Genomic DNA, 14,389 nt, shown 5'->3' on the forward strand with positions numbered 1-14,389 from the left:
TGCTCTCTATTGGGAGGCCCAGGATGCAAGACTTTCTAAATCTGGAAAATCACAGGCAAACTAGGGCCAGTAGGACATCCCGAGCTGCTGTCTTTCCAGCACTTGCACTTGGGGCAATCTGATGTTTCTGAGCCCACTAGGCAGAAGTAGCAGAAGTGCTGAAGGGCACGGGTGCAGGAGAGTTCTCACCTTGATTGGGAGCTTCATGAGCTGATGCTGATGCCTGGCTCTGCTCCCAACAGTGGGAATAGCTGGCTTCCAGGCAGGCCCAGCAGGGAGTAAAGCTGAGTATTTCTGGTGCTTAGTTGATTCCTCAGATTATATATATGTATGTATACACATAGATGTATATATTTATGTGTGCATATATATGGATGTATATACATATATACTTATATATGTGCATGTGTGTATATATACATATGTGCATAATACATAAATAACTTGCAATGAACAAGTGTTACTTTTATAAATTAAAAAAAGCAAGACACAGGCCGGGCATGGTGGCTCATGCCTATAATCCCGGCACTTTGGGAGGTTGAGAAAAGAGGATTGTTTGAGGCCAGGAGTTCAAGGTTGGCGTGGGCAACATAATGAGACTCCATCTCTACAAAAAATTTAAAAAATAGCCAGGCGTAGGGGCATGTGCCTGTAGTCCCAGCTATTTGGGAGGATTGCTTAAGTGCAGGAGTTTGAGACTATAGTGAGCTACGATCAAGCTACCATACTCCAGCCTGGGAGACAGGGCAAGACCCTGTCCCTTAAAAAAATAAAATAAATAAAAATAAAAATAAATTTTAAAAAGACAGAGATGTGATTGTGTCAGAAAACCCTCAGTCTAAACTCAGTAACTTTCTAATTGTATTTAAAGTACATAACAACTAGCCATAATTAAAATGAGATTGTTTTGTGTCACACAGATAATTAGTGGATAACTTTATTATTTCTACAAAAATATTCAAATTTAAATAAAATTATAAGGAAAAAGTTCACTTCAAAAAGTTTTTCTCTGGGTTCTGTCTCCTGGAGCTATTTCATGGAGACAAAAGAGATTCTTCAAAGCCAGTGGCTATGGGGAGTGAACTATTTTAGGTTTTCAATTTGCATGGGCGCTAGAGTAGATGGAATGCTGCAGCGGGGGCTTCAGCGTGTGGGGCTGCGAGGCTGGCTGTGCTCTGTTTCTGCAGCTGTGTTGATGAGCTGGCCCTCTATTAATGGCCTTTGGGACTGAACTGTCATGTCTCAGAGATGTGCTTCTTTCTAGGTGTCTCATCATTGCCTCATAAACGCCAGGACCCACACTTGAAAGACAACCTGTCAACAGTGAAATCCGCCTTCATACCTTTTCCTTCAGCTTTCTCTCATGTGAGAAACTGGTGGAAACTCAGGCCTCTGGGTGGCCCCCAGTAGTCTGTGGGTGGATGGGAATACGTTGAAACAGATGAATCTGAATTAATGGCTGGAGGTGCCCCAAGTTTCTGCGCCAACCTTTAATGCATGGACAGGTTATGCCTGTGACCCCTGAGAATGGTCCCAGGGAAGTCCAGCCCTCAGCTGGATTGTGGAGGGGACAAAATGCCCATGGATGGGATCAGTGGGCCCAAAGCCTTCCATGAGAACTTCAGTAAAATCCTGCATCTTCCAAATACTTGTCTTGTATCTCAGAGGAGTGCAAACTCTAAGAACATAAGCATGTAGAATTGGAAATATTATAGAAGACTGGAAAATTCCAAATTCAAACATGTGTCCTAGTTTACAGAAATTAAGAAATTCAGCTACAAAAGCATTATGAATGTTATGCATGTGTGTGCATTATATATGTGTATATATATGCTTTTATATATTATCTTAAAAATAAGATTTAGCTTACAATTTTAGCTTAAAATCTATATTTAGCTTTTATCTTAAAAATCTATATTTTATCTTAAAATGCTTTTATCTTAAAATCAGTGTTTCTCACACCAAGATTTGTAAGGCCTGACCCAGCTTCTGTCTCTGCATCCCTGCTCCCCCAGCCTGCAGCTTCAATTCCTACTACGTGCTCCAGCCCTTGCAAACTTCTCTTATAAGCTCTGCCCCTGCCTGGAGCATTCTTACCCTCAATCTCCTCCCCGGACCACCCTCTAGGCAACCTTTCTGTCTCCCCTTGCTTACCACTTTCTTTTGGAAGCCTTCCAGGCCTCCAGGTGCTCTCTCTGGACTCCATGCAGCTGCCATTGCTTTGCACAGTCTGGGCACCTTGCATCCCTGCAGGTTTGTACATGTTAGGGCAGTGAGGCCACCAGCTCTGCTCTGGGCTGTGTCCACAACATCTGGCACAGCCTCAACTTGGCAGATAAGTGCTCAAAATTATTTGTCAGGGCATCAAAGAGAAAAGAACAAGGGAAATCATATATTAGAAGACTTGGTATTGGAAAGATGTCAATTCTCTCCAAATTGATGTATAGATTCATGGAACTCCAAACAAAATAATAGTAGTTGTTTGTTGCAATTCACAAGCTGATTCTAGAAATGATATCAAATCTAAATAACAAAACAGATTTGGGAGCTGAAGAAGAAGGAAAAGGAGGAGAAAGAAGAGGAAGAAAAGAAATAATCACAATAAAGCTTAAGCCCCTAATGTCAAGAATTATTATAAGGATATAATAATTTTTTTTGGATTTTTTAATAGAGACGGGGTTTCACTGTGTTAGCCAGGATGGTCTCGATCTCCTGAACTCGTGATCCACCCGCCTTGGCCTCCCAAAGTGCTGGGATTACAGGCGTGAGCCACCGTGCCCGGCCGGATATAATAATTTAAAACAGCTTGCTATTCTCACAAGAAATGAGAAATTGTCCAGTGGAATCTGTTGGCAAGTCCAGAAACAAACCCAGCACTTACACAGTCACTTAATTTATGATAAAGTTTACAGTGCAGTGGGGAAAGGGCGATGTTTCCATAAATAGTACTGGATCAAAACAAACAAAAAAAGAAAAGAACATGGGAAATACAAATACTTTTCTTAATAGTAAGACAGGAGGGTTTTAGATTTTTCCACTTTTCTATATTATAAAAGAAATGTGAAAACTTAAAAGTAATTTAAAAACAATAATCATACCACATTAACAAAATGACTTTTATTTTTCTTACTCTAAGATTTTGTCCATACATACCTGTTTTAATAGTTGTGCATTGTTATGCATTTTTATCTGTTTTGAAGTAATCGTTATTATTTAGGATGATAGTGTGTAAACACACTCCATTTTTCTGCATAGTGCTTAATAATTATATTTTTACATGTTGTGTAATGGATTGAGTTGATATGCTACACTTTCCTTTTAATTTTGTGATTATCTCTGGTATAGTGAATTTCCTAAACTCAGTGAAGTACAGGCATAAGCAATCTATTTTCTTCCAACTACCACCTCCCTTGCCTGTCCTTCAGTGACATCTTGGGCTGATCCCATAGCTTTAAAGTCATATCTCATTATTAAAAGTTCTATCTGGTCCAGTTTAAAATCTAATCTCATTTTCTCTTTTCCCTTCTCTCTCTGGCTGTATCATGGTCTTTGAAACCTGTAGTTGGGAGGGAATATGTTTTGGCTTTTACTCCTCTATCACCAGAGGGTTGGGTGGGGAGGAGGAGAAATTGGAGTAAAAAGGGAAGCTGTCGGGTTCGGTGGTTCATGCCTGTAATCCCAATGCTTTAGGAAGCCAAGGCAGAAGGACTGCTTGAGAGCAGAGATTATAGACCAGCCTGGGCAACATAGTGAGACCCCTATCTCTAAAAAATAAAAAAATAAAAATTAGCCAGATATGGTGGCACACACCTGTAGTCCCAGCCACTTAGAAGGCCGAGGTGGAAGGATCACTTGAGCCCAGGAGTTTGAGGCTGCAGTGGACTATGATCACACCACTGTGCTCCAGCCTGGGCAAGACTCTGTGTCTTAAAATAAAAAAATAAAGAAATAAAGGAATGGGGAAGGTTGAGCTACCTACTGTCACCCGTCAGTGGTGGGCAGTGGCCCTGAGCTTTCTACTGGTCACTCTGGTTGGCTGTTGGTGTGTTCTGCTGACATTGTCTTTGTCTCATGTGATTTTCTGGGCATGTGTTTCTGGTCCCTTTGTCACTGAGGACCCTCTCAGAAAGTAACAGCGGCATCCCTTTTAAGCCATGCCGTTGACGCACACCCTCAACCCCCTATCTCGGTAGGACATTACTTCCCTTGGCCAGGGCACCGTAGTTTCTGCCTCCCTCTTTACTCCTCAGCTCCCTCATGTGAGCCAGGAAAGCTACTGGTTTCTCCTCCATACCCTGCAAGGGCCACAGGGGACTGGAGGGTGGAGTGCCATCTTTTACTCAAGAACAGCTACACCATGATCCCTTCTTGCTGCTGGTGTGAGCTGCCCTGGCAAATTCCCACCCTCAGAAATCTTCAGCCAGGTAGCCATCTTCAAAGTGGGCCTGCAGAGACTGAAGCCTGGTACCTACCCAGTCAGCTGGTGGCTGCTGGGCTCCTCTTGCCTAAAAGTCACCTTTAGTCTCTATTTTTTGGAGTCCCAGTTTCTTGAACACCATAAGAAAGAGGGGAGGGCAAACCTCCTCAGCAGGAACACTGTACTCCCAATGATTCCAATTCCTGTCCCTGGGTGGTCTGCTGGTGCCTGGGAGTGGGTGTGGGTGATGGCTGGGGTAGCCTCATTTAGCAAGTATCTGGCCCTAACTGTTTTCTGCTCAATTAAAAATGTTGGAGGATGATTATGTTCATTTGATTGTGGTGACGGTTTCTTGGATGTACACATAGGTCAAAACTTAACAAATTAAACACTTTATGTGTACCTTATTGCCCATCAATTATGCTTTAATAAAGCTGTTAAAACTGTTGGGGGAAACTTACTGCCTGTTTGTCCACTTCAACATTTAGTTACACTTTTGTAAATAATGCTGTGTGAACACTTTTTCCTTTTGATGTTTTCTTAAGATAAATTCCTAGGAGTTTGGATTACTGGCTAAAAGATAAAAACCATTTTTATAGCTCCCAATACATATTGCTATGTTATTTTTCCAAACAGTTGTGCCAATTTCCAATGTAGCAGTAAGTATGAATATACTAGTTTAATAGCAACCTTATACTTGAGTATTATTTTAAAAAATTCTTCCTAGATATAAAATGTTTCATTAATTTTTATTTATTTGATTACAATAAAGGATAACAGGTGTGTATGTTAGATCACTTTTTATTTCCTCTTATGAGAACCACCTGTTCTTATTCTTCATCTATTTACCTACTGGGTAAATAAATGAGTTTTGATGTTCTTTTATTTTGATTTCTGTAAATGTTGTCAGGAAGTTGTTTGTGAAATACAAGGAATGTTTTCACCGAAAGTAGTGTTTATTCCCATGGTTAGAATTTGAGAACAAATTGACCAGAGTAAGTGCTGACTGTGTGGGCCCATCAGCTGCCTCTCCTGGTTTCTGGAACAAGGGTCCCTCTGTGCGGGCAGGTCAGGTTGTTTTCTCCAGGCATCCCTGTCTTCCTCTAGTCACACAGGTTCCCTGATTGTTAGCTCTCCTACTCTCTGAGTGAGTTTTCTCAAGCTGATCTGATTAGAGCAGCACATTTCCTCTTAGGACAGTGGTTTTGAACCTGGGAAAGTAGGATACCTAGGAATTGGGAAGAGTAGGGGTGGGGGTAGCATGTGCAATTTTTTAAAAGTCTGTGGAAAGAATTTAACCTCCCTGTCAAGGCAGTCATAATTTCATTTATAGTATTTTGAAATTGCAAATAGTATAAAAGGATTTATGTACAAAAACGAGATACCTAAGACTTTTATAAATGTCAAAACAGAATGAAGCCACTTTAATTGAGAGACTCTGCTCTTTGCTTCTTTTCAAGATGGTAATATGAGTTCAAGTTTTAAATTGCTCCAAATACAGCGCACATGCATGCGCACACACACATGCACATACTCCAAAGATAGCCATGCTCAAAAACAAACATCTATGTAGACAAAGGTCAAAATAGAAGCTTCTAGCCATAAGTGCAGGCTGAGGCCACCAACCCACTGGATTTTGAATCTAGAAATGCTCAGAGTTGGCCAGAACTTGGATTTCTGTGGGGTAGAAAGGACCTACAGCACATTGAGCCCTACTGGATAGTAAGAGTGACAGCAGCAAAGAGGTGGGGTTTCTTACCATGAAAAGAAACTGAGAAGAAGACATGACTGGGCTATAGCTTGTATATATCTAATTTAATACTGGCAATTAAAAGAAAGCTTTTTGTTTGTTTGTTTAAAAGAGTTAATGCAAGAAAAGCTAAGTAGCTGTGTAGCCAGTGTGGCCAGAAGGAGCAGAGAAGGCCGTGGAGACAGAACCTATGTCAGGGCACCTGCTGATTCAATAGCTAAATGTGTGAAATTGCCCCAAGAATGGAAGCCCTTGGCTGTTGACATAAGGCCTGTTCTATCATCGGAGTGCCAAGAGTTGGGTGGAGGTGCTGCAAAACCACGAGAAAAGAGTGCATGATGAGAGAGGGGAAATAATAAAGCACATAAAGAAAAACCACTTTAAGAAAGCAAGTCAATAAAGTGTGGAGAATTAATTCTTGAAAAAATAAAAATTAAACATTCTCAAAATGAATTTAAAATAAGTATGTGTAACTTATTCAGAAATAAAAGAAAAAATAATAACCATAAAATGTTTTGTGAAATTTAAAAGTGGGTAGAAATCAAAGATAAATGGATATAAAGAACCAATTTTAAAACCTGAAACTAGGCCGGGCACGGTGGCTCATGCCTGTAATCCCAGCACTTTGGGAGGCCAAGGCAGGCAGATCACGAGGTCAGGACATCGAGACCATCCTGGTTAACACGGTGAAACCCCGTCTCTACTAAAAAAAAACGTGAAACTAAAAAATGTGTGTAATAATCGAGACGAAAACTCAATAAATGGGATAAAATCTGACTGGAAAAATCAAAGAGAATTACTGAATTTGAAAATAGTATTGAAGAATTTACCAAGAAAGAAGCACAAAGAAATAAAGAGGGAAAAATATTAAGAAGATGTTAAGTGAAATAACAGTTGGATTGAGAGACTCAATATTGTTCCTCCCACCTCCAAAATTCAACCCACCCACAAACTTCTATTGAAAGCACTACTAAAGAACTCAGAACGTTCTTTAGTAGTTCTTTCAAAAAAAAGAAAACCTGGAATGATATGGGATGTAAGAAGCATTAATGAACAAAGTAATAGATAAAAAGATGTTGTTAAATTAATTACTGACAATTCAAGATTAACATTTTTGTTTGCTTAAAAGAGTTGGGAATAAAATGTAGACAGTAAATACAAGGAGGATAGAAGAGGTGGAATTCAATGGGCCAATGTCAACTAAGATCATCACTTTGTTTAAAAAGATGAGGATATTAAATTTCTTTAGACTTTGTCAGGAAATATAACATTTTATATGTATGTTGAAAGTAATCACCAAGATGATAGAAACGCAATCTATAGCTTCCAAACCATTAGAAGAGAAATAAAAAGAATAAAGATAATTTCATCAATCCTAGAGAAAGAATATAAGGGAGAAAAAAAGAAGCAAAAACAAAGTTGGGGGAGGTGGTGACGGGAAGATTATACAATGAAAACACAGCACAAAAGTGTATAAATTAACCCAGCTATATCAATTATCATAATAATTGTATATGGGTCAACCTCAGGCTATCTAAAGAAGATGATCATATTTGGTTAAAACAAACAAACAAATGCTGTTTATCAAAGACATACCGAAAGCAAAAATACCTGGAGCAACTGAAAAAGATATAACAGGCAACTACTAACAAATAGAGAATTTGGTGCAGCAATATTAATATCATATAAAGTAGAATTAAAAGCAAAATCATCACTAGTGATAAAGAAGCACACTGCATTATGAGAGGAGTTTTTCCTAGAAGATATAACAATTGTGAATTTGTATGCATTAACAACATGGCTTTAATACATATAAAGAAAAACTAACAATTATAAAAAGATACAGACAAATTCACAATCATAGTGGATAACTTAATATACCTGTATCAAAAATAAAGCCATCAGACTGGGCGCAGTGGCTCATGCCTATAATCCCAGCACTTTGGGAGGCCAAGGCATGTGAATTGCTTGAGCCCATGAGTTCGAAACCAGCCTGGGCAACATGGTAAACGTGGTGAGACCCTGTCCCTGCAAAAAAAAAAAAAAAAAAAATTACCTGGGTGTACATGCCTGTAGTCCCAGCTACACGAGGGGATGAGGTGGGAGAATCAATTGAGCAATTGAGCCTGGGAGGCAGAGGTTGCAGTGAGTAAAGATAGTGCTACTGCACTCCAGCCTGGGTGACAGAGCAACACCCTGTCTCAAAAAAAAAAAAAAAAAAGAAAGAAAAGAAAAGAAATAAAGCCATCAGACAAAAAATATTTAGTAAAAATATAGAAGATTTTAACAACACAATTAAAAAGCTTCCCCAATAAATATTTAAAACATCAAGTTAACATTCCTCTCAATCATATAATAAAGCATCTACAAGTTTATTAAAAACAAGTCTCAATACATTTAAAAGGATTTAAATCACAGAAAGTATGTTTTCTGAACCACAATGGAATTAAATCAGAAATCAATAATAGAAAAAAAGATAAAATTTGCAAATATTTAGAAACTAAGTAGCATGCTTCTAGATAACCTGTAGATTTAAAAAAAAATCTAAAAGAAAATTAGAAACTATTTTAAGCTGAATAAAAGTGAAAAAACATACATAAAAGTTGTGGGATAACACTGAAGCCATAGCAGAAAGAAAATTTCTAGCACTAAACATCTTTATTAGAAAAGAAGAAAGATCTTAAAATCAATGACTTCAACTGCAACCTTAAGAAATTAGAAAAGAAGAGAAAATTCAGCCTAGAGTAAGTAAGAAAAAGAAAATAAGAGTAAGGAAGAAACCAATAAGATAGAAAACAGAAAATCTAAGAAACCCAAAATGAACAAGATTAATAAAATTAATAAACCTCTAGCTCTGCTAATCAGGAAGAACAGAGAAGACACAAATTACTAATATAGGGCATAAAAGAGGTGACATGACTCCAGATTCTATAGATACTAAAAGGATAATATGGGAACATTATGAACAATTTTATGCTAGCAAATTTAATAATTTAGATGAAATGGATAAATATCCTGAAAGACTCATATTACTAGAGACTTCTTAAGAAAAAATAGATAAACTCATTAGCTTGTGTCCATTACAATTGAATTTGTAGTTAAAAATATTCTCACAAAGAAAACTCCAGGCCCAGATGGCTTTACTGGTGAATTCTGCTACATATTTAAGGGAGAAAAAAAAATAATTCTATATGAATTCTTCCAGAAAATGAAAGAATAAGATATACTTCCAAAATAATTGTGGAGGTCTGGCTTTATGCTGACAGCAAATACAGACAAATTACAATAATGTAATGTAGTAAACATAGGAGTGAAAATGATAAGCAAATTTAACAAAGTGAATCCAACAACCTAAGAAAGGCATAATATACATCATGATTAAGGGAGATTTATCTCAGGAATGCCATGCTCATTCAACATTTGAAAATCAACTGGTTTGCCATATTAACCAAATAAAAAATAAAACACACATGATTATCTCAAGAGATACAAAGAAAGCACTTAACAAAATCCAACATATATTACTTATAAAATCTTTTAGCCAACTCGGTATAGAGGGAACTCCCTCAACCTAATAAAGGGCATCTACAAGCAACATACAGCAGCATTATACCTAATGGTGGAAGACTGAATACTTTCCCTTGAAGATCAAGACTAATACGAATATATCTGTCTATTCTTACCACTTCTATTCAACATTATATTGAAGGTTCTTTCCAGCGCAACAAAGAAAAAGGAAAGACATCTATTATGGAAAGAAACAAGTAAGCCTGTTGTTATTCACAGACAGTGTAATTGTTAATATAGAAATGCAATGGAATCTGTAAAAACACTTCTAGAACTGATACAGAACCAATAAGTTAGTCAAGTTGCAAGATACAAGGTCAATATACAAAAATCAATTCTACATCTATATACTAGCAACAAACAACTTGAAATTCAAATAAAAAATACCATTTACAGTATCATCAAAATTATCAAATACTTAGGGATATATTTTTTAAAGATGCGAAAGATCTATAAAAGGAGAACTACAAGATATCACTGAGTTAAAGTAGAACCAACTAAAAGGAGAAATAATGTGTTCATAGGTCACAAGACTCAATATTGTTAAGCTGTCAGTTACCCCTAAGTAAATCCATAGATTCAATGCAATCCTAACCCAAATCTAACAGGCTTAAAAAAACTTGTAGAAAGAAAATACAAACAATACCAAAGAAAAGATGGCAAACTGTATTAAAAAGTATGTGTGTCAGTATGATGCTGGCCCCATAGAATGAATTAGGGAGGATTTCCTCCTCCTCAGTTTTTTGGAATAGCTTCAGTAGAAATGGTACCAGCTCTTCTTTATTTATCTGTTATAATTCAGCTGTGAATTCATCTAATTCTGGGCTTTGTGTGGTTGGTAGGCTTTTTATTACTGATTTGATTTTGGAACTCATTGTTGGTCTGTTTAGGGATTCAATTTCTTCCTGGTTCAATCTTGGGAGGTTGCATGTTTCCAGGAATTTATCCATTTCTTCTAGGTTTTCTGGCTTGTGTGCATAGAGGTGTTTGTAGTAGTCTTTGAGGGGTTTTTTGTTTGTTTTTGTATTTCTGTGTGGTTGATGCTAATGTCTCCTTTGTCATTTCTGACTGTGTTTATTTGAATCTTCTTGCTTTTTTAATTAATCTAGCTAGCAGTCTCTCTACTTTATACTTTCAAATAACCAACTTCAGGATTTGTTGATCATTTGTATGGTTTTTTTGTATCTCAATTTCCTTCAGTTCAGCTCTGATTTTGGTTATTTCTTGTCTTCCTTTACCTGTGAAACCCTCTATGTTCTATCCTTCATCCATTTCTCACTTCCCACCCCTGAATATAATCACTATCCTGATATTTGTAGGAAGATTTCAAACTATTGGTTTAATTACTTTAATAGGTATCAGATTATTTAGATTTTCTCTTCTTGGGTCAAATTTAGCAATACACTTTCTAGGAACTTGTTTATTTCATGTGTTTTCAATTTTATTGGCATAAAGCTGTTTATAATTCTCTCTAATAAATTGTAAGTATCTACAATATCCTTTCATTTCTTCTTTTGCTTCTGTCATTTTTTTTCTTAATCTATATTGGCAGGGGGTCTGCTAATTTAATTAGCCTTTTAGAAAGTACTAACTTTTGACTTTATTAATTCTCTATGTTATCTTTCTTTTCCAGTTGAGTACTTCTGTCCTTATTTCCCTCTTCTTGCTTCTTTAGTACTTCTTCTCTTTTCAACATGTTTAAGTTGGATACTTAGTTCTTTAATTTCTAGCCTTTAATCTTTTCTAATGTAAATGTTTAATACCATAATTTATCTTCTAACTGATGCTTTAGTTGTATCCCGTAAGTTTTGACATTATTATAATTTCCACTTTTATTTCTTCTTTGATCCAAGATTTGCTTAGAAATACACTTTCAAATTTCCAAGTGCATGGGTTTTTTAAAATATATTTTGATTATTGATTTCCAACTTAAAATGACCCCAATGATATCAATATTTTGAAATTGAGACTTGCTTTATGGATTACTGTGAAGTCAATTTTTATAAATGCGTCAGTGTTTAAAAAGAGTGTGAATTCTCCTATTGTTAAGTGTCATGTTTGAAATATGTCCCACAAATGTTAATTGTGTAGGTCAAATATAGGATATACTTATTTTTGTCAGCATAATCTGTCAATTATTGTCAGAGATATGCTAGAATTCTTCAGTATATTTGTTGATTTATTGATTTTATTTATAAATATGGAAATTTTTATTTCTGTAAGTTGAAGCTGTATTTTCTAAATTAATGGACCTTATTTTTAAGAGAAGTTTTAGGTTTACTGAAAGTTGAGCAGATAACACAGACAGTTTTCATATGGCCTCTGTCTCCCATGCTCACAATTTTTCCTATTACTAACATTTTGCATTTGTTACAATTGATGAACTAATACTGATACTTTATATTGACTGAAGTCTGTAGATTACATTAGGATTCACTCTTTGCCTTGTAATGCTCTATGGGTTTTTGACAAATGTGTAATGTCATATATCCACCATTACAGTATCATACACAATAATTTCACTGTCCTAAAAATTCCCTGGCTCCACTACTCATCTTTTCTTCCTCCAAATCCCTAGCTAGCAACTGCTTTTTATTTTATTTTATTTTATTTTATTTTATTTTATTTTATTTTATTTTATTTTATTTTTTTGGCAAAATCTATTGTTTTGCTTTTAACAGAATGTTATATAGTTGGAATCATAGAGCATGTAGCCTTTTAGACTGGCTCCTTCTTCTAGGAAGAACACATTAAGATTTCTTCATGTCTTTTTTTGTGGCTTGATGCTCATTTCTTTTTATCACTGAATAATATTCCATTTTATGGATGTACCACATCTTCTTTATTCATTTACCTACAAAGACAGCTTGGCTGCTTCCAGTTTTGGTAATTATGAACAAAGTTGCAAAATATTTGTGTGCAGGTTTCGTGTGGGCATAACCTTTCAACTCATTTGGGTAAACACCTAGGAGTATAATTACTGGATCATATTGTAACACTATGTTTAGTATTATAAGAAACTGTCTTTCAAAGTGATTCTATCATTTTATATTCCCACAGCAATAATGAGAATTTCTGTTGCTCCGCATTCTTGACAGCATATGGCATGTCAGTATGTTTTGAATTTTATCCGTTCTAATAAGTGTGTAATGGTATCTTGTCGCTTACATTTGCAATTCCTAATGACATATGATCTTGAGCATCTTTTCATATGCTAATTGTCATGTGTGTGTCTTCTTTGATAAGGTATCTGTATAGATCTTTTGCCCTTTTAAAAATTGGGTTGTTCATTTTCTTATTGAGTTTTAAGCGTTCTGTGTATGTTTCGGATACAAGTCCTTTATCAGGCAGGTATTTGGTAAATATTTTTTCCAACCCTGCAGTGTATCTTTTCATTTTCTTAACAGTGTCTTTTGCAGAGCAGTTTTAATTTTAATGGAGTCTAACTTAACAATTTTTTCTTTCATGGATTTTGCTTTTGGCATTGTATCTAAAAACTTACCACCAAACCCGATTTTTTCTGTGTTATTTTTTAGAAGTTTTTAAATTTTGCATTTTAAATTCAGGTCTGTGGTCCGTTTTGAATTAACTTTTGTGAAAAATGGAAGGTCAGTGTCTAGAGTAATTTTTTTAGCATATGAGTATCCAGTTATTCTGGCACCGTTTGTTGAAAAGACTTTCTCCATTGAATTGCCTTTACTCCTTGGTTAAAGATCAGTTTCATGTATTTGTGTGGTTCTATTTCCGAACTCTCACTTCCGTTCCATTGATCTATTTGTCTATTCTTTCACCAATACCACACTCTTTTAATTGTTGTAGCTTTATGGTAAGTCTTGAAATTAGTGGTGTCAGTTCTCCAGTCAGAGAAACTTTGTTCTTCTCCTTCAGTATTGTATTGACTATTCTGGGTCTTTTGCCTTTCCATATAATCTTTAGAATCAGTATGTCAATATTCACAAAATAACTTGTTAGGATTTTGACTTAAATTACACTGAATATTAGATTAAGTTGGAAATAACTGAATCTTAATTATTGAATCTTCCCATCTATGAATATGAAATATCTCTCCATCTTTGTATATCTTAGAGTTTTAAAACTATCCTCATACAGAAATTATATATATTTTGTCAGATTTATTCCTAAGTATTTTATTTTTTGGTATTGATGTAAATGGTATTATGTTTCTATATTTTCTTTTTGGTTGCATGAAGTTTAAAACTGTGTTATCTTTTTGGTGAACTAAAAATCATTTCGTTATGTAGTGAATTTATTTATCTCACTAATAATGTTTGTGTCAAAGTATCTATTATTTTTGTAAGCAGCCATAAGATCTTCTTTTTAACCTCATATATACTTTCAGTTTTTTGATTTTCAACTTTTCTGAGCCTTTATGTTTTAGGTTTGTCACTTGCAAACAGTATGTAGTCATACGTGTGTGTGTGTGCATGCAACACGTATCAAATATGACAATACTTATGTTTTAATTGGAAAGATTAATTGATTTGTATTTGTTGTTATTAAGTTACAATTTAACTTTATTTGGTCAGAGAACATACTGCATATAAATTTAATCCTTTTAAATTTATTGATAGTTGTTTTATAGTATATCTTGATAATGTGCATTGTACAATGGAAAAGAATGTGTGTTTTGTTGT

General features: G+C 35.6%; 1 long non-coding RNA gene across 8 annotated transcripts in view; it reads right to left on the reverse strand.

Moving 5' to 3' along the window:
- LOC107986777 (uncharacterized) overlaps positions 1 to 14,389 on the reverse strand; it is a 303,857-nt gene that overhangs the window by 33,373 nt on the left and 256,095 nt on the right. Inside the window, exons 4-6 of one of the 8 annotated variants that reach the window (XR_007060257.1) lie at positions 8,224 to 8,363; positions 2,155 to 2,247; positions 1,343 to 1,678 (exon numbers count right to left, since the gene is read on the reverse strand). The exons of 1 other annotated variant lie outside the window; for it this stretch is intronic. This is a non-coding gene — a long non-coding RNA (uncharacterized LOC107986777). 6 more of the 8 variants (XR_001745130.2, XR_007060258.1, XR_007060256.1 and 3 more) reach the window with 6 other exon arrangements.

This window comes from Homo sapiens, chromosome 7 (genome assembly GCF_000001405.40).
Source record: "Homo sapiens chromosome 7, GRCh38.p14 Primary Assembly".
Lineage (NCBI taxonomy): Eukaryota > Metazoa > Chordata > Mammalia > Primates > Hominidae > Homo > Homo sapiens.